We start from the raw sequence: 15,452 nt of genomic DNA on the forward strand, positions 1-15,452 counted from the left end.
ATGTTCATGCAATATTTGGTACATTTTATTAGATAAAATTATTGTTTATCTGAAATTCGAATTTAACTGGGTGTCCAGTATTTTTATTTGCTAACGCTGGCAACCCTTCTGACGGCCAGAGAAGAGAGGAAGCGGCCGGCAGGGTCTGGATCCCAACTCGGCGCTCCCCTCCAAGTCCGGCGGGGGTATTGAGTAAAGCCCGGCAGTGTAGTGTCTGCAGCCCCCTTTTACTAGCGAGGAAACTAGTGACACTTGCCTGCGCCAGTAGGTGGCAGAGATGAGAGTAGAACCCCGCGCCTGGCACGAAGCCTGGCATGCAACAGGCGTTATTTGCTTGCTGAATGAATGGGTAGGAGGCCAGAGTCAGTGCCAGGCTGGTGCCATGGCATGGGGTATTCTGGACTTTTTGAGCCAGCCCCATCTCACTGAACACTCTGCCCTCCAGCCCCCTTTTCCTCCCATCCCCTAAAAGACGGGTGAAAGGAGAGGACCAGGCATTGTATGTAAAGAGCAAGGTTTTATTCACCAATTCAACAGGGAAGCAGGAAATACAGCAGGAACATAATCTGTGTCTGCATCAGCGATATTTCTGGTGACCCAGCCAGAAATCACAGTAATGGAGTAACAGAGATTTGAGCTCAGGATTTACATCCAGATGGGGCCATCAACAGGGTCCCATTCAGCACCTTCCCTGGGTGGGCACAATCTAAGCCACGCTGTTGTGTCTGCCCCATTATTGGTGTCATTTCTGCAGTATTTGTACCAGCAGCCTCCTGTACTGAAGAGAAACATACAGAAGAATTGAGCCAGGGAGGGGCTCCTGATAAAGATAGGGGCATCCTGCCATTCCTAAGTGCCAGATGTCTGCAGAGGTGGGCACCAGCAGGCTGTCAGCTGAGGCAGGCCCCAGAGCACCCTGAATTGCCTTGGAGGGGTCGGGGCAGTAGTTTTCTCAGAACACAGCCCCAACCACCCAGGGTGGTCATGACAGTCAAAGAAGATCGTGGAAGAAAATCCAAATACAGTGCTTGGTGCTGGGCTAGTGTCAGCGTCCTCACTCCCCCACCCCAGCTCTGCCCCAGACCTCACTCTGAAGCCCCAGACGTAGGCACTGCTGCTTCTGAGATTCTCTAGTTGGTCTGCATGTGTCAGAGCTTCAAAACCAAGGGCATTAGAGGTGACATTGTTTCCCTTCAGACTCAGCCAGCCCAAGCTCCTAGGCCTTACATCTGAGGTCCTCAGGGGCTGCTGGTTCTGTGCCTCAGGAAGTCAGGGATGTTGGTTGAGGCTGGGTTGGACCTTTTCTAGGGAATGCCTCTCCCTTCAAAATGCACACACTATATGCTAGGCACACTGGGGGATATGAAGGCGAGTCTACAACAGGTGCCGCCAGGGAGCTCACAGACTGATAAGAGCTCGCATCTACTAAGGGCTGTCTATGAGCCAGGCACCATGCTGAGCATTTGACATAAATGGTCTCATTTAATGGGAGATGGGCCTTATTATCTTCATTTTATGGGTGAAGAATATTGAGGCTTTAGAGAAGTTAAGGGACATTTCTAAGGTCATACAGCTACTAAGTAGCTAGGTTATGAGCCCAGCACGTTGTAGTCAAAACCCACATTCTACCACATCACACTGCCTTCTGCACACAGCAGCAGGACCAGGGAGGGTGGTGTGCAGTAAGGACAGCACCAGGAGCAGGGAATGAAGGAGTTGCCACTCAGCGGGGCTATACCTTGAGGCTAGCTTGGCTCCAGCTTTGGAGTCTTGAATCCCATAGATCAGTGACTGACAACCAATAATGATTTGGGGCCCTCTCCCCCAGCAGACATCTGGTGATGTCTGGAGGTCTTTTCAGTTGTCACAACTTGATGGGGGGGAAAGATGCTACTGGCATCTAGTATGTAGAGACCAGGGATGCTGCCAAACATCCCATGATGCACACGTCAGCCCTCACAAGAAACAGTGATTCAGCCTAGAACGTCAAATGTACTGAAGTTGCTAAACCCTACCACTGGATACTGAGGCAGATGAGAGAATGGGAAGAGCTCCAGTCCAGGTGAACAAGGTCCAGACTCTGTCTTGGCTGCTGACTTCTCTTTCCCTCTCTGGGCCTCAGGGTCCCATTCCGGCCACAAGCATACACAGGACACAGCAAAGGTGGACTTGACTAATGCAGCAGGGAACAGCATGGGTGGGACAAGACTGTGTAGACTGGGGGAGAAAGGTCCTGCTCCAAAAGGCTGATGATCCCAGTCTGTTACTTTAGACTGGGTGATGAGTCAGGGGAACTTCTTTCCCTACTTCTTGCCCCATGGGGTCTACTGGGAAGGTCAGCTTCCTTTCTTTGGACTGTTCCTCCTTTGAGCTCTGCCTCAAGAGGGAAAAGCCTGGAAACCTGGCTTTCTGGGGTCCACACCCATAATGTCCTAGTCAGACAGTCACACCCTAATACAGTACTGGGTGGTAATTCCTCCCATGCAGGATCCGGGGATGGCCCCAGCTGGGCCCTCCTGACATTGGAGCAGGGGCCCGGCTCACCTGGATTTGGGGTGCGGGGCGGCTGAGGCTCACGCCCAGAGCCTTCTTTAGCAGGAGGATTCCGAGCAGATCATGACTCAGCTGCAGTCGCTGGTCCCTCAGGGAGGTGTGGGGAGCTGTCCCCAATGGGGATGGGCTGGAAGGCTCCAGACTCTTCTTGCCCATGAAGTGACCTGGAAAGGAGGTGTCCAGGCACAAGGAAGTCAAGCAGCCAGGATCCTACCTCAGAGGAAAAGTTCCTCATCTCTCCCACGTTTCCGTTCTTGTAGCGGGAAGACACTTAACCTTCCTCCTCTTGGTGCTTCCACCTCACCAAGGAGCCACAAAGGTGTCTGGGTGGTGGCAAAGCCTGCTCCCTCAGCTTTTCCTGAACAGGTAGAGAGGATGGCACAGCTGGCAGGAAGGTGGGATGGTCCAGGGCCAGGGAGAAACTCTGCTAGTTGTGTGGGCTGCTTGGACAAGGGACGAAAAAGGGCAGGGTAGGAAGTGGAGAGTGAAGAGGCGCCTGGAAAGTGGAGGTGCAGCAAAAACACACCAGCGGTTAGAAGATTCGGTTAAGTCTCGCCTAAGGTAAGGGGCACCGGCTGGCAGTGGGATTTAGGATCTAGCCCAGCCCTGTCTTAAACTGGCTGCGCGACCTTAGCCAAGTCACTGACCTGTCCGGGTCTCAAGTACATATCTATTAAATTAGATGAGCCCCAGGGTTTTCCACCTGCTCCGACACTAGTGTCCGTGGCTGAGGAGCGGCCAGAGGGTTGAGAAGGAAATGGGGTCTGAACTGGATGAGGGGCGCTTGCTTGCTCCGTCCCCAAAGACTTACCGGTGGCCCAGAGGTTGCCTCGCGAGTGCACTCGGATCTTGCTGGCTCGGCTGCGGGGCTCCGGGAGATCCCAGCTGAGCGGGGCGACGCCGGCAGCGAGCAGGGCGAAGAGCAGGAGGCTGCCGAACATCCGAGCGCCCCCCGCCCGCCGGGCCATGGCTGTGCCCGGGCCGCGGCTTCGTTCGGGCGCGCTTCCCGGCCGCTGGGCTCCGGGGCTGCCTTCGATCCTTTTAAATCCGCGCCCCTGGGGGCGGAGCCTGCCCTGAGCAGCGGAGCCGTGCCCCGCGCCCGCCGCCCTCCCCGCCGTCCCCACCCTCCCGCTAGGTTACCAGGCAGGGGCACCCCCTTTGGGCCGCCCAGAGACCTGCACACCCACACTCTGGCCCGCACGCGGGCACCGCTTCCGCCAGGGGCTTCTGGCGGAAGCCCGCCACCTTCAGGCTAAGGACCGGGCACCGGCCAAACAGGGGCCCGGCCCCGGCGGCGGAGCCGCTTCCCCTGGCCCTGCCTTGCCACTCTGCCACGGCTTTCGGCCAAATAGGCACTTCAGCCCTCTGAGCCTCTCTTCATGAGGGTAGAGGTCGGGCGAGGAGCTCTCCTCCCGGGTAACAGGCTTTTTTTTTTTTTTTTTTTTTTTTTTCTGAGACAGGATCTGGCAGTATCGCGCAGGTTGGAGTGCGGTGGCGCGATCACGGCTCACTGCAAACTCAACCTCCAGGGCTGGGCTCAAGCCTCAGCCTCCCCAGAAGCTGGGACCACAGGCACACGCCTTCATGCCTGGCTTTTTTTTTTTTTCTTTCCAAGAGACTGGATGTCGCTAGGTTTCCCAGGCTAACAGAGGCATTTTTACAGTGTCCAGCCAAGTGCTAGGCACCAAAGGACTTCCATAAACTAATCCCCATCACCTCCGCCCTTTGGGGGAATCTGACCCGTGTTCACCTTGCTCTCTGCCCTCTCACAGCCAGCATCACAGTCTGGAAATGTTCTGGCACACAGTAGGTGCTCAGAATGGGAATGCAGAATGATGGAGGGTGGGACAAAGGGCCGCTTCTGAGGAACGGGCATCCAGCTGGAGGGCCTGGCTTATGGGCAGGAAGCAGACCTCTGGGTCAAGAAAGTGGAAAGAGCACTGCACCCAGGACTGCACTGCACCCAGGAGTCCATGTACAAGCTGTGACCCGGCTGAACCTCACTTTCTTCAACTGTAAAATGGTAATAACCACACTGCCCTAATTTTAATACTTTTACATGTTTTAGCATAAGTACTCTGTGGCCGGAAGCAACAATTCTGTAGGACCTGCCCTCTCACACCTGGCACTTTGTTCTCCCCAGGAGCTGTCTGGACTTTCTTGGAAAGAACTTCTGGATAAGTGGTATCATATAATGAGCAGAGGAAAACACTGTGCTCCAGAAGAATACATTTATGTTTGCTTAATTAACTGAAACCCATTGTTCAGAGCACTACACTAGACACAAGAAGAGGGGCGACAGATAATTCCTTGCTCCCAAGGGAGTTAACCATCTCATTGGAGAGACAAGTACACAAAGGAGAGAGTGATGGAGGAGCGGGGGTGCAGACCACCCCTTGGACTCTGGATACCTCTGGAACACGGAACAGAGTGGCCGTACCAGAACCTACTCCCATCTGGCTTGATAATGGGACCTGCTTCTAGGACTCTTGCTTAGTATCTAGCTCAGCAAGGTTGCTAGCTCTGTGGATCCTCATCCTAGAAGGGGAAGCTCACATGAAAAACTGGCTGTCATACCCAGCTGGAGGCCCAGCTTCCAGGAGCATGACACACAGGACAGGGACGTTTCATTTCTGGCCCTGGCTTTCCCCCCAATCTCCTTGCTTCTCACCTCCCACCCTGGCATTTACACCTCTCTGCTTTCTTGTCACAGCTTAGCCATGGTGTACAGATATAGCTCTTATCACCTTCCGGTAATCATTCCTTTGTGACCCCCCTCCCTCTCCTCTGCATCCATCAAACCCCCATCCTATCTTCTCTAGTCCATGGATAATAGAAATTAGCGTGAACACACAGAAGCTGGTATTGATTGAGTGCTGCATCACTTAAATGCTTGAAGGAATCTTATTTGGTAGGTTTCTGTCTCCTCATTTTTATAGGTGGGAACAGGCTAAGAGGTTTAGCCACTTTCCCAGAAGTCCCACTGGAATCAGATTTCAGGTCTGTCTGGACCACTGCATCAGGCCCCCAAATCTATGCAGGGCAGATACAACTCTCCCTAAACCACACCCACTCCCATTGTACCATCTCAAATTTCAACACCAAGTTGTGTTTATGTATCTCAGGAGGGAGAGGGAGTGGGCACTGCATTTCGAGTTTCACCTCTCTTCCACAGGTGACTGGACCTTGAGTTCTGCTAAGGTTATTTATACTTAAGCCAAGCTTCCTCTGACACAGCCTGGGTTCACAGCTGCAGCCACAGCTCTGAGGCTGGCCCCAGGCACCCTTGGAACCATTTGCTCTGTCAGCCTACTATAGAAAAAAAAGGGGGGGGGCCTCTGAGGACCCTGGAGAAAACAGCAGGGGAGCACCTCCACAGACTTAGGAGCACTCACCTTAGGGAAAAAAATGGGAGGCACAGGGGAGAAGGTGGCTTGCTCAAGGGAGTGCTAGGCTCTAAGTTTAGCATGAGGACCTCAAATGCCAACTGCCTGTTCCCTAAGTCCACTCTGGTGGCAAGAGAAGTCCAAAGGCCTCCACTCCATGGGGAAAGGCTAGCATTGAATTGAATGGAGGTACGTGGGGAAGCTCTTCAGAACCCACTCTCGACCCTCCTAGGATTCTACAACATTCAAGGACATGCACAGAAAATGTGAGGCAGGTTCACAAAACAACCCATGGGGTAACTAAAAGGGTGAAAGATACATGGCAAATCCTATCATAGCTAACACCAGGAAAATATTTAAAGTACACCAAGTTTTTTAATAAAAAAATTGCTTCATCAAAAATAGCGATTAAGAATGGATATTACAGCCGGGAGCCAGGGCTCGCACCTATAATCTTAGCACTTTGGGAGGCTGAGATGGGCGGATCACCTGAGGCAGGAGTTCGAGACCAACCTGGCCAACATGGTGAAACCTCATCTCTACTAAAAATACAAAAATTAACCGGGCGTGATGGCAACGCACCTGTAATCCCAGGTACTCAGGAGGCCGAGGAAGGAGAATCACTTGAACCTGGGAGGTCAGGGCGGCAGTGAGCCAAGATCGCACTACTGCACTCCAGCCTGGGCAACAAGTGCAAAACTCCGCCACAAAAAAAAAAAAAAAGAAAGAAAGAAAGAAAGAAAAAGAAAATAAATGACAGGAAACCTAGAGTTGTCACAACAGGATGTGTAAAACAGGGGTGTTCAATCTTTTGGCTTCCCTGGGCCACATTGGAAGAGGAATTGTCTTGGGCCACACATAAAATACACTAACATTAATGATAGCCGATGAGCTTAAAAAAAAAAAAAAGTCACACACAAAATAATCTCTTACTGCTTTAGGAAAGCTTACGAATGTGTGTTGGGCTACATCCAAAGCTACTGGGCCGTGGCCGGACGTGGTGGCTCACGCCTGTAATCTCAGCACTTTGGGAGGCTGAGGCGGATGGATCACGAGGTCAGGAGACCGAGACCATCCTGGCTAACATGGTGAAACCCCGTCTCTACTAAAAATACAAAAAATTAGCCGGGTGTGGTGGCGGGTGCCTGTAGTCCCAGCTACTCGGGAGGCTGAGGCAGGAGAATCTCTTGAACCCAGGAGGCGGAGATTGCAGTGAGCCGAGATCGTGCCATTGCACTCCAACCTGGGCAAAAAGAGAGAAACTCCGTCTCAAAAAAAAAAAAAAAAAAAAAAAAAAAAAAAAAAAAAAAAACCTACTGGGCCGCATGTGGCCCGAGGGCCGCGGGTTGGACAGGCTTGGTGTAAAATCTCTATTTTGGCAAATCTTTGAGCACAATCTCCAACTGTATGGGCTGGGGAGATGAAGAGAAACATCCTGGGATATCTCAGGCCCTACTCTTTACTTTCAGAGTGAAGAAGGGACCAGAGAACCAGGAAAACAGCAGAATCTTTAAGGGAAAATCAGGGATATTGGATACAATTTCTTAAACTCAGAGGGAACGCATAGGGATTACCTATAAAATCAGAACAGTAACCTCAAGAAGGAAATCTTTAGTAAATCAAAATTGCCAAAATACAAAAGTTTTTTTTTTTAATTTTTATTTATTTATTTTTTTTTGAGACAAGGTCTTGCTCTGTTGCCCAGGCTGGAGTGCAATGGCATGATTTCAGCTCACTGCAACCTCTACCTCTCAGGCTCAAGCAATTCTCCTGTCTCAGCTTCCACTGCGCCCGGCTAACAAAATGTTTTCTTAAAGGCAATATTTGAAAAAAAGAAAATACCTACACCTAATGAGAACGTGATCATGACTCCAATGGTGGCTAAAAAACAAAGGCTGCTGATCAGCTAACTGATGCAGTACTCAGGAAAGCTATGAAAACCTAAGGAAGTGAGAAGCCCCAGGCCCAGCATTCTTAATTATTTGGGAGTAATATTCACATATGTTAGGGGACATTTCTGTAACTGGAATGAATACTCTTTAATCTCCAAAGAGGTTTAAATGCTTGGAAATCTGCCACAGAATCTCACTATTTCTAAGAGACTAATAATCTGAGCAATTCTGCACAAGAAAAACCTAGAGCCTCTAAAGAAGAATTCCCAAGGGCTTTGCAATTGTGGAATTTATTGCAAATAAAATAATTTCAATAGACTTTACAAAGGTAAAAGGACTGGGTTATGACATCCAGCATTGTGACATGGTAAAAGCAACAGACTTGAAATCTGGCTCTGCCATGCATGGACCAGAAAACTCTGGACAAATCCCTGAACTTCTCCTGGTTTCTCTCTTTTATAAAATGAAGGTCATTTAGAAGGTTCATTAAATAGAGAAGGTAAAAGTTTGTTATAAACTATAAAGCACTTAGAAGAGCCCCTGGCATATTCTAAATACTCACTATTATTAGCTCGACCTGGGAAAAGCAAAGCCTGCTTTAAATATGAAGCCCATCTCAGAGGGGGAAAAAGTTCCCTGGATAACAGCCATGGTGTTGACACAACAGTGCCTGGCTCTGGCAAAAATGCCTATTACATCAAAAATTGATAAACTAAAATGTCAGCCCATCTACCTCAACTCTTGACCAATTCCAAGAAAAAGGATTCTACACAGCATTCTATTTTGGCTTAAATAAGTTGTCAGGCTGAGAGCTTTGATCAAAGCTTGATGCTAGCCAATTTACTTACTTGCCTGACATTAAGTCTAGTATAAATTCTTCTAACTAGACTCCTTGAATTAAATCTGGAATACAGCTTACCAATCTAAGTAGACAGGCCAATTAAAGTAACAGTTTTAGAGAAATGATTCTTAATAAGAGTAGGTTGGGGCCGGGCACAGTGGCTCACGCCTGTAATCCCAGCACTTTGGGAGGCCGAGGTGGGCGGATCACCTGAGGTCAGGAGTTCAAGACCACCCTGGCCAACATGGTGAAACCCCGTCTCTAGTAAAAATAACAAAAATTAGCTGGGCATGGTGGTGAGCATCTGAATCCCAGCTACTTGGGAGGCTGAGACAGGAGAACTGCTTTAACCCAGGAAGCGGAGGTTGCAGTGAGTGGAGATTGCTCCATGGCACTCCAGCCTAGGCAAAGTGCGGAGTCTCACAAACAAACAAAAAAAAAAAAAAAAAAAAGAGTAGGTGGAATTTGGGCACAGTGGCCCATACCTGTAATCCTCACACTTTGGGAGGCCTAGGCGGGTGGATCACCTGAGCTCAGGAGTTTGAGACCAGCGTGGCCAACATGGTGAAACCCTGTCTCTACTAAAAATACCAAAAACCTAGCTGGGTGTGGTGGCAGATGCCTGTATTCCCAGCTACTTGGGAGGCTGAGGCAGGAGAATCACTCGAACCCAGGAGACAGAGGTTACAGTAAGCCAAGATTGCTCCATTGCACTCCAGCCTGGGCGACAAGAGTGAAACTCCGTGTCAAAAAAAAAAAAAAAGAGTAGGTGGAATTTCAGAAATGCCTAAGATTGGTAGAACAAGGATAGAATATACAGTTTGAAAGTCATATTCAATATAATAATAACTGTATATGGGAAAGAAGTTATTATCGTTTCTATAATACAAACTTAAGAGAACGCAAGATCAAATACTCTTGGCTGATGAGGATAAGAGGTTGGATATTATAGACTGGCGCGGTGGAAGGGTGTTTCTCAGAATGAAGAGGAGGTATGAGATTTTTGTTTCCCAAAAGAGGCCATGAGTTTTAAGATTAAGGAACGCTGTTCTACAGGAAAGTTGAAGATTCCTGGTTTAGATGGGTAGATGGTCTTTTGTGAAGTACCTTTTCTGCAAAAGTTGCCGAACTATACCTACACTGGAACATTCGCTGAAATAGCTCTATCATTAGACTAATTAGTACAGGGGTTATTGTAAAAAAAAAAAGTCACGCAGCACAGTTAAGAAATTTCTTGGTTTTCAGATACATTATAAGTTTTTTCTTTTAATTTCATTTTATACCCATTCCATAAAGCACATAAATGACTAGTTCCGAACCTCTTTGCATTAGCAGCTAAGGACTGAGAGCCAAAGCTATGGATCTATTCCAGTAGACAACAGAATCTTTTGATATGTCCTGTAGGTACTAACCTCACCTCTGATTTCTTTCTTTACTTTCTTTTTCTTTTTTTTTTTTGAGATGGACTCTTGCTCTGTCGCCCACACTGGAGTGCAGTGGTGCGATCTTGGCTCACTGCAACTTCCGCCTCCCAGGTTCAAAAGATTCTCCTGCCTCAGCCTCCCAAGTAGCTGGGATTACAAGTGATGGCTACTACGCCTGGCTAATTTTTGTATTTTTAGTAGAAACGGCATTTCACTATGTTGCCCAGGATGGTCTTGAACTCCTGACCTCAAGTGTTCTGCCTGCCTCAACCTCCCAAAGTGCTGGGATTACAGGCGTGAGCCACTGTGCCCGGCCTCCTCACCTCTGATTTCATCCTTTTCTCCTCCCACATTTCTCTCAACCTGAATTCTTCAATTATTTTCTATTTCATCACATAGTACTGGAGGTATCTTTATGAACAAGAGAGTATAAATAAGTTTAAAATATGCAAAGCACTGCAATAGGGACTAGCAGATATCAAAGGATGAATCAGAGACTGACTCTGTCTTAATGCCCTCCAGGAGCCGACCCTCTGGTGGGGGAGAGAGACACACATAAGGCAAACCACTCTGAGGGCAATGTTCGAGAGGAGCACGAACAAAGTACGGGACAGTGCAGAGCAGGAAGCATGACATGGGCTCAGAAGCTCCATCCGGAGTAAGAAACACTCCTCTCTGGAGCTCCCTGAGCATCTCTATCATTGCACTTATTTTTATTTATTTACTTATTTTTTTGTGATTGTGGGAAGAATATAATTATACTTAAGATCCTATGTGGAAAAATCTGTTAATGTCCATTGCCCCTGTTAAGGTACTGACCAGGAGGGACATAGTCTTATCCATCATCTTGGTATCCCCAGGGCCTAGCCCAAAATCTGGCACAGAGCAGATGCTCAATAAATGTCTGCTAAATGAATGAGAAAGCTTTCAGTAGGTAGGGAAGTGACCAGGCACTCCAGGCAGAGTGACCAGCATAAACAAAGACAGAATGTCTGTACCGTAAGACCAACGTCCAGGGTGCAAGAATGTGATGTCTGGTGAGAGTGCAGCTGGAAAAATCCTTAGGACCTAGAATGACACATGGAAGGCAACATCTTCACCATTTTTTGGTAAGCCCTGCGCATTCTAGTTTTGATAATGCTTTTTGGTTACACAGCATTCTTTCTATATCCAGAGAGGTTTTATTTGCTAATTGAATGGCAATAACTATGGTGGCTTCACACCCACCATAGTTGTGTGTGAAGGGTCATATTTGCTATTTTACTTCTGAAAGCCTACCTTGTATTACTTACTGTTCTAGCAAGAGACAGTAGTGGTGAAGATATACCTGGCTACAAAACAACCTGAACAGGCCATCCTGAGTGAAAGAGCTGCTTGATGAAGGTAGACATCCATTTACCTAGCTAGAACCAGCTGGGTCATCTCTGAAGTTTAACAGTGGAAAATGTCATAAGAAGAGGCCCAGCCCTCAGATTCTGAAATCAGCCTCCATGCCACGTTCTGAGAGGTTAGCTAGACTTGGTAAAAGGCTTATGCAAATACTAAGAAATGTACTCAGGATAACAGAGAATTTCTCTATTCCAAGCCCTGGGTCTCTAAGAAGGAAGCCTGTGATTCCTTAAGAAAAATGATACATGCCAATACTTCTCCCATCAAGAAAGAAGACACAACAGCCTAAGCCTAAGGACACACACAAAAAAGAAGGAAGCAGGATTAACAGTTAAAAATCTGGGAAGGGTACATGCTGTTTAAATGGAACCATGGAGAGAGAAAGTTTTCAGATTCAAATTTGGCAAGACCAAGAAAATGTACTTACTAAATAACAGGAAAGTACAGATCACTTTAATGATTCATATGCTCTGCCTCCAAATAACAGCTCAACAACAATGCTAACTGAAGCTACTGCCTCTGACTACAATGCATGATCGTACTGAACATTTAATAGATGCTGTTTCAGGCTACTGAGGAAAGACAGAACAGTGTCTATGAAATGGGGCTCCTGTCCTGGAGGAGCTTACAATCTGCCAAGGACCTCGAGGCCATATCCACAAATTTAAACAAACAGTGTGAGGGTGCAAATGCTGAGTGACAGCAGAACTTGTGAAGACGGTAAGACTCAGATAAACAGAAATAAGATGACATAATACAAGTGGAAACACTCAGCAAAGGAGGAAAAATAATACTTTTACACAACTGGTTGTGAATGAAATTTTTTTTTTTTTTTTTTTCTGAGATAGAGTCTCTGTCACCCAGGGTGGAATGCAGTGGCACAATCTGCAACCTCTGCCTTCCAGGTTCAAGCCATTCCCCTGCCTCCACCTCCCAAGTAGCTGGGATTACAGGCACATGCCATCAGGGCCAGCTAATTTTTGTATTTTTAGTAGAGACAGGGTTTCACCATGTTGGCCAGGCTGGTCTCAAACTCCTGACATCAAGTGATCCACCCACCTCGGCCTCCCAAAGCGCTGGGATTACAGGCATGACCCACCACGCCCAGCCCGAGTGAGTAAAGTATTAATGTCTTCCTCCCAATAAGTGTATAAGGAGGAGGGATTGGATAGATGAGGACATAAGTACAAGGATGTTTGCACTCATAAGGATGCTTACTGTTGGTGGAATTCAAAGTTTGAATTCAATGTAGGGAAAGGGTAGTATGAACACAAAATTTATGGTCCAAACAAGAAGCATTTCTGAAAGTAAAAGGCAGGCTAAAACTAAGTATTAATAACAGGTGGTAATTATCCAAAACAGGCACAGACTGGCACACTGCAGGGTGACCAGTACACAAGCAACAGGGAGCCACTGAATAAGTATTTCTGGATTCAGGTGATGGCAATGAGAATGGAATGATGGGGTAAATGGAGGACTTAGTACGTGGCTAGATATGGTAGGGAAATGACAAATCTAGGTGAATATTCCTTCACAGAAAACATGAAATATGGAGGGGAAGTTTTCAGGAACTTGAGTTTAAAGACGGGACAATCAAGTGGAAGTGTCCAGAGGAAAGGGAGACATGGAACTAGAACTGAGGACAGACATTGGAAATAATTTAAAAAGATTGATTAGCAGGCGGTATAAGAGCAGACAAGTAACAGCCAAAGAGATAATCCCATTATCAATTTCTCATTTGAAGTTTGATCAATTTTCATACTCTTGTTCAATTCCTTTCACTCACAATGGTTGAGCCCTCCCAATTCTCCACTTGCCCTGCCAAATCTCAAAGAGCTTATCACGCCATTCAATTAGCAAATAAAACCTCTCTGGCATTTCTTACATTTGCAAAGAGCTTTTAGGATATATTTGCTAATAAAATCTCCCATTTTAAGTCTTATGTTTAGCACTAAACTAGACAAGATAAAAATTGGGAATATAATACCCCTCCCCACAAGTAATCTTTTTATTTTTGGCTAATGGAGTGATTCAAATATTATTAAATGATTTGATTACCTTTTCAGAGAAACTTAGTTGTTGCTTGCAACTACAGCATCCAGGAAAGGAGGAAAAATAATACTTATATAAAACTGGTTGCGAATATATGCAAGGGAAAAAAGTATTAATGTTTTCTTCCCAATACATTTATAAGGAGAAATCTGGAGTAGATGAAGATACAAGTACAAGGATGTTTACATTCAGGCAAGCTAGGATCACAGAGAACCCTAGGATCCCAACCTTGGCCAGCAAAGCACACTGCTTCTCCCCTAGAGTAGTCCTAGAAAGGCTGGTACAAAAACCAGTGTACTGATTAGGCTGAGCAGTGAACTGCATCTTCCACAGGTGATGAGGGGGGAAAAAATGGAATAAATGGCAATTTCCTGCTATTCCACACAGGGAATGTTCAGCTTCTGGTTCATGAGAAAATATAAGTACTATATACGCCTCACAGACAGGTTCAAAAAAGCATTTGTTAGCAGTGATTTGCCAAGTTTCATACTCTGTTGAGAATATTAAGAGCCCATATCCAAAGTTGGAAGGCTAAAGCCTGGTTAATGGGTTTAGGAAGGTACTATTCTCCACAGGGGAGGGCTTCAGAAGAGTAATTGTCCCTGTTCTCATGCCATTAGCATTACGGCATAGACTGATTTCCACTGCAGTTGAACAAATAATAGAAACTGTTCAAGTAGCCTAACACAGAAAACTCACTTTAAGATTTCACATTAATACAACAAGAGAACAGATAGAATTAAGTGTATTTTGTGCTCAAAAGATATTGGTTTACTCTATACTCCCTATTTCCCTCACTGCCTTGATATTAAAAGAAAACATACAATTGGGTTGTGCACTCACTACTTTAAACTGCTTGCTTTAAGTCTGCATTAGAGAAATGCAAAGTCAGGCACTTGAGAGAACAGGTTCAGACAAATGAGACTTTAAAGACGCCAAGCAGAATGCTTGTCCTCCAGCCCTTTCCTCTGCCTCTAGATGCTAATGCACACTGCCTTGGTGTAGAAAGGACTGAAATGTCTCAAGTGTAGAAAGGGTTATGACTTTTTATAACCAAGTGAGATTTTCTGAACCTCTCAGCAACACTAGCTGGGTTTTATACACATCTGAGTCATGGGAAGAATCAATTTTATGACTAAGAGATTTCCTATGACTGTCAGTGGCTACTTTTGCTTCACACACACACACACACACACACACACACACACACACGCAAAACAGACAAACAAAAAAACTAGTTGTTAGTATCAGAGCAACCTTCTTAGCTGAAGGACTGTTCACACCAAGCCTTTATATCCCCCAGGGGTACTAAGAACCAGCCAAGGAAGGCAAATTTCAGAAGCTTTCCCGACAAACACAATTCAGGGATAAGGGGTTCAATGTGCAAAGTCTTTTATTTAAAATTTTAGAAGTTAAGACTTACGACCACCTCAGTATATGCCATTCCTAATAGAAGGAGGTATGACGGTTTCAAACTCGTGCAGAGCTGCATTTTCATTTACAAGTCTCTGTAGGCACTTTAGAAGTGAAGCTTGGCTTCAAAATACAAACACTGGGGGCTTTGGCTCAACCTTTTAATATAAAAAAATTCACTGATGTACAAAAATTTGAAAGTGTGACAATGACAATTATGAAATCCTGTGACTGAAAGTCCCCTCGAGTGCACTCTGTGGTGCACATGCGCCCGCCCACACAAACTCTGGCATGGAAACATAAACTAATGCAAACCAGTGCTACCCAGAAGCACCAACACGTGTGTTCTCCATTCCACCAATCACAGACCAGTATCTACTCCAAACATCCAGTAACGAAAACTATGGCATCTTCCCAGGAACAGCAAGGCAGGCTTCTTACTCACGATGAACCAGCACGAATAAACCCAGCAAAAAGAGAACTGCATACTAGAAAATAAACA

At 46.5% G+C, this 15,452-nt stretch overlaps 2 protein-coding genes across 10 annotated transcripts in view, besides 1 other annotated feature; both read right to left on the minus strand.

The window, feature by feature from the left end:
• On the minus strand, window positions 501-3,568 carry NMB (neuromedin B). 3 transcript variants are annotated; one of them, NM_205858.2, is made up of 3 exons: window positions 3,365-3,568; window positions 2,545-2,717; window positions 501-773 (listed from the first exon to the last, which is right to left on the minus strand). In NM_205858.2, the coding sequence occupies exons 1-3, from the start codon at window positions 3,519-3,521 to the stop codon at window positions 639-641; spliced, it is 465 nt and encodes a 154-aa protein (NP_995580.1). In that variant the 5' UTR covers window positions 3,522-3,568; the 3' UTR covers window positions 501-638. The 3 variants fall into 3 exon arrangements, with proteins under 3 accessions (NP_995580.1, NP_066563.2, XP_016877728.1); NM_021077.4 differs by having other exon boundaries at window positions 501-778; XM_017022239.2 differs by lacking the exons at window positions 501-773; window positions 2,545-2,717 and adding an exon at window positions 2,769-3,049.
• Window positions 3,524-3,683: a silencer, noted in NCBI's record as "silent region_6771". NCBI's record gives its function as "represses an Ori minimal core promoter by ATAC-STARR-seq in GM12878 lymphoblastoid cells {active_cell/tissue: GM12878}" and the evidence as "EXISTENCE:reporter gene assay evidence [ECO:0000049][PMID:35858748]".
• Window positions 14,913-15,452, minus strand: part of SEC11A (SEC11 homolog A, signal peptidase complex subunit) — a 46,596-nt gene continuing 46,056 nt past the window's right edge. For all 7 annotated transcript variants that reach the window (NR_073518.2, NM_001271921.2, NM_001271919.2 and 4 more), the window contains one exon: window positions 14,913-15,438. Coding sequence is in view for 5 of the 7 variants with exons in the window: in NM_001271922.2 (NP_001258851.1) it covers window positions 15,312-15,438 (127 nt within the window). In the remaining 2 variants the exon portion in view is untranslated. The remainder of the gene's footprint in view (window positions 15,439-15,452) is intronic.

The sequence above is a fragment of the Homo sapiens genome, chromosome 15, assembly GCF_000001405.40.
Source record: "Homo sapiens chromosome 15, GRCh38.p14 Primary Assembly".
In the NCBI taxonomy this organism is placed as follows: Eukaryota; Metazoa; Chordata; class Mammalia; order Primates; family Hominidae; genus Homo; species Homo sapiens.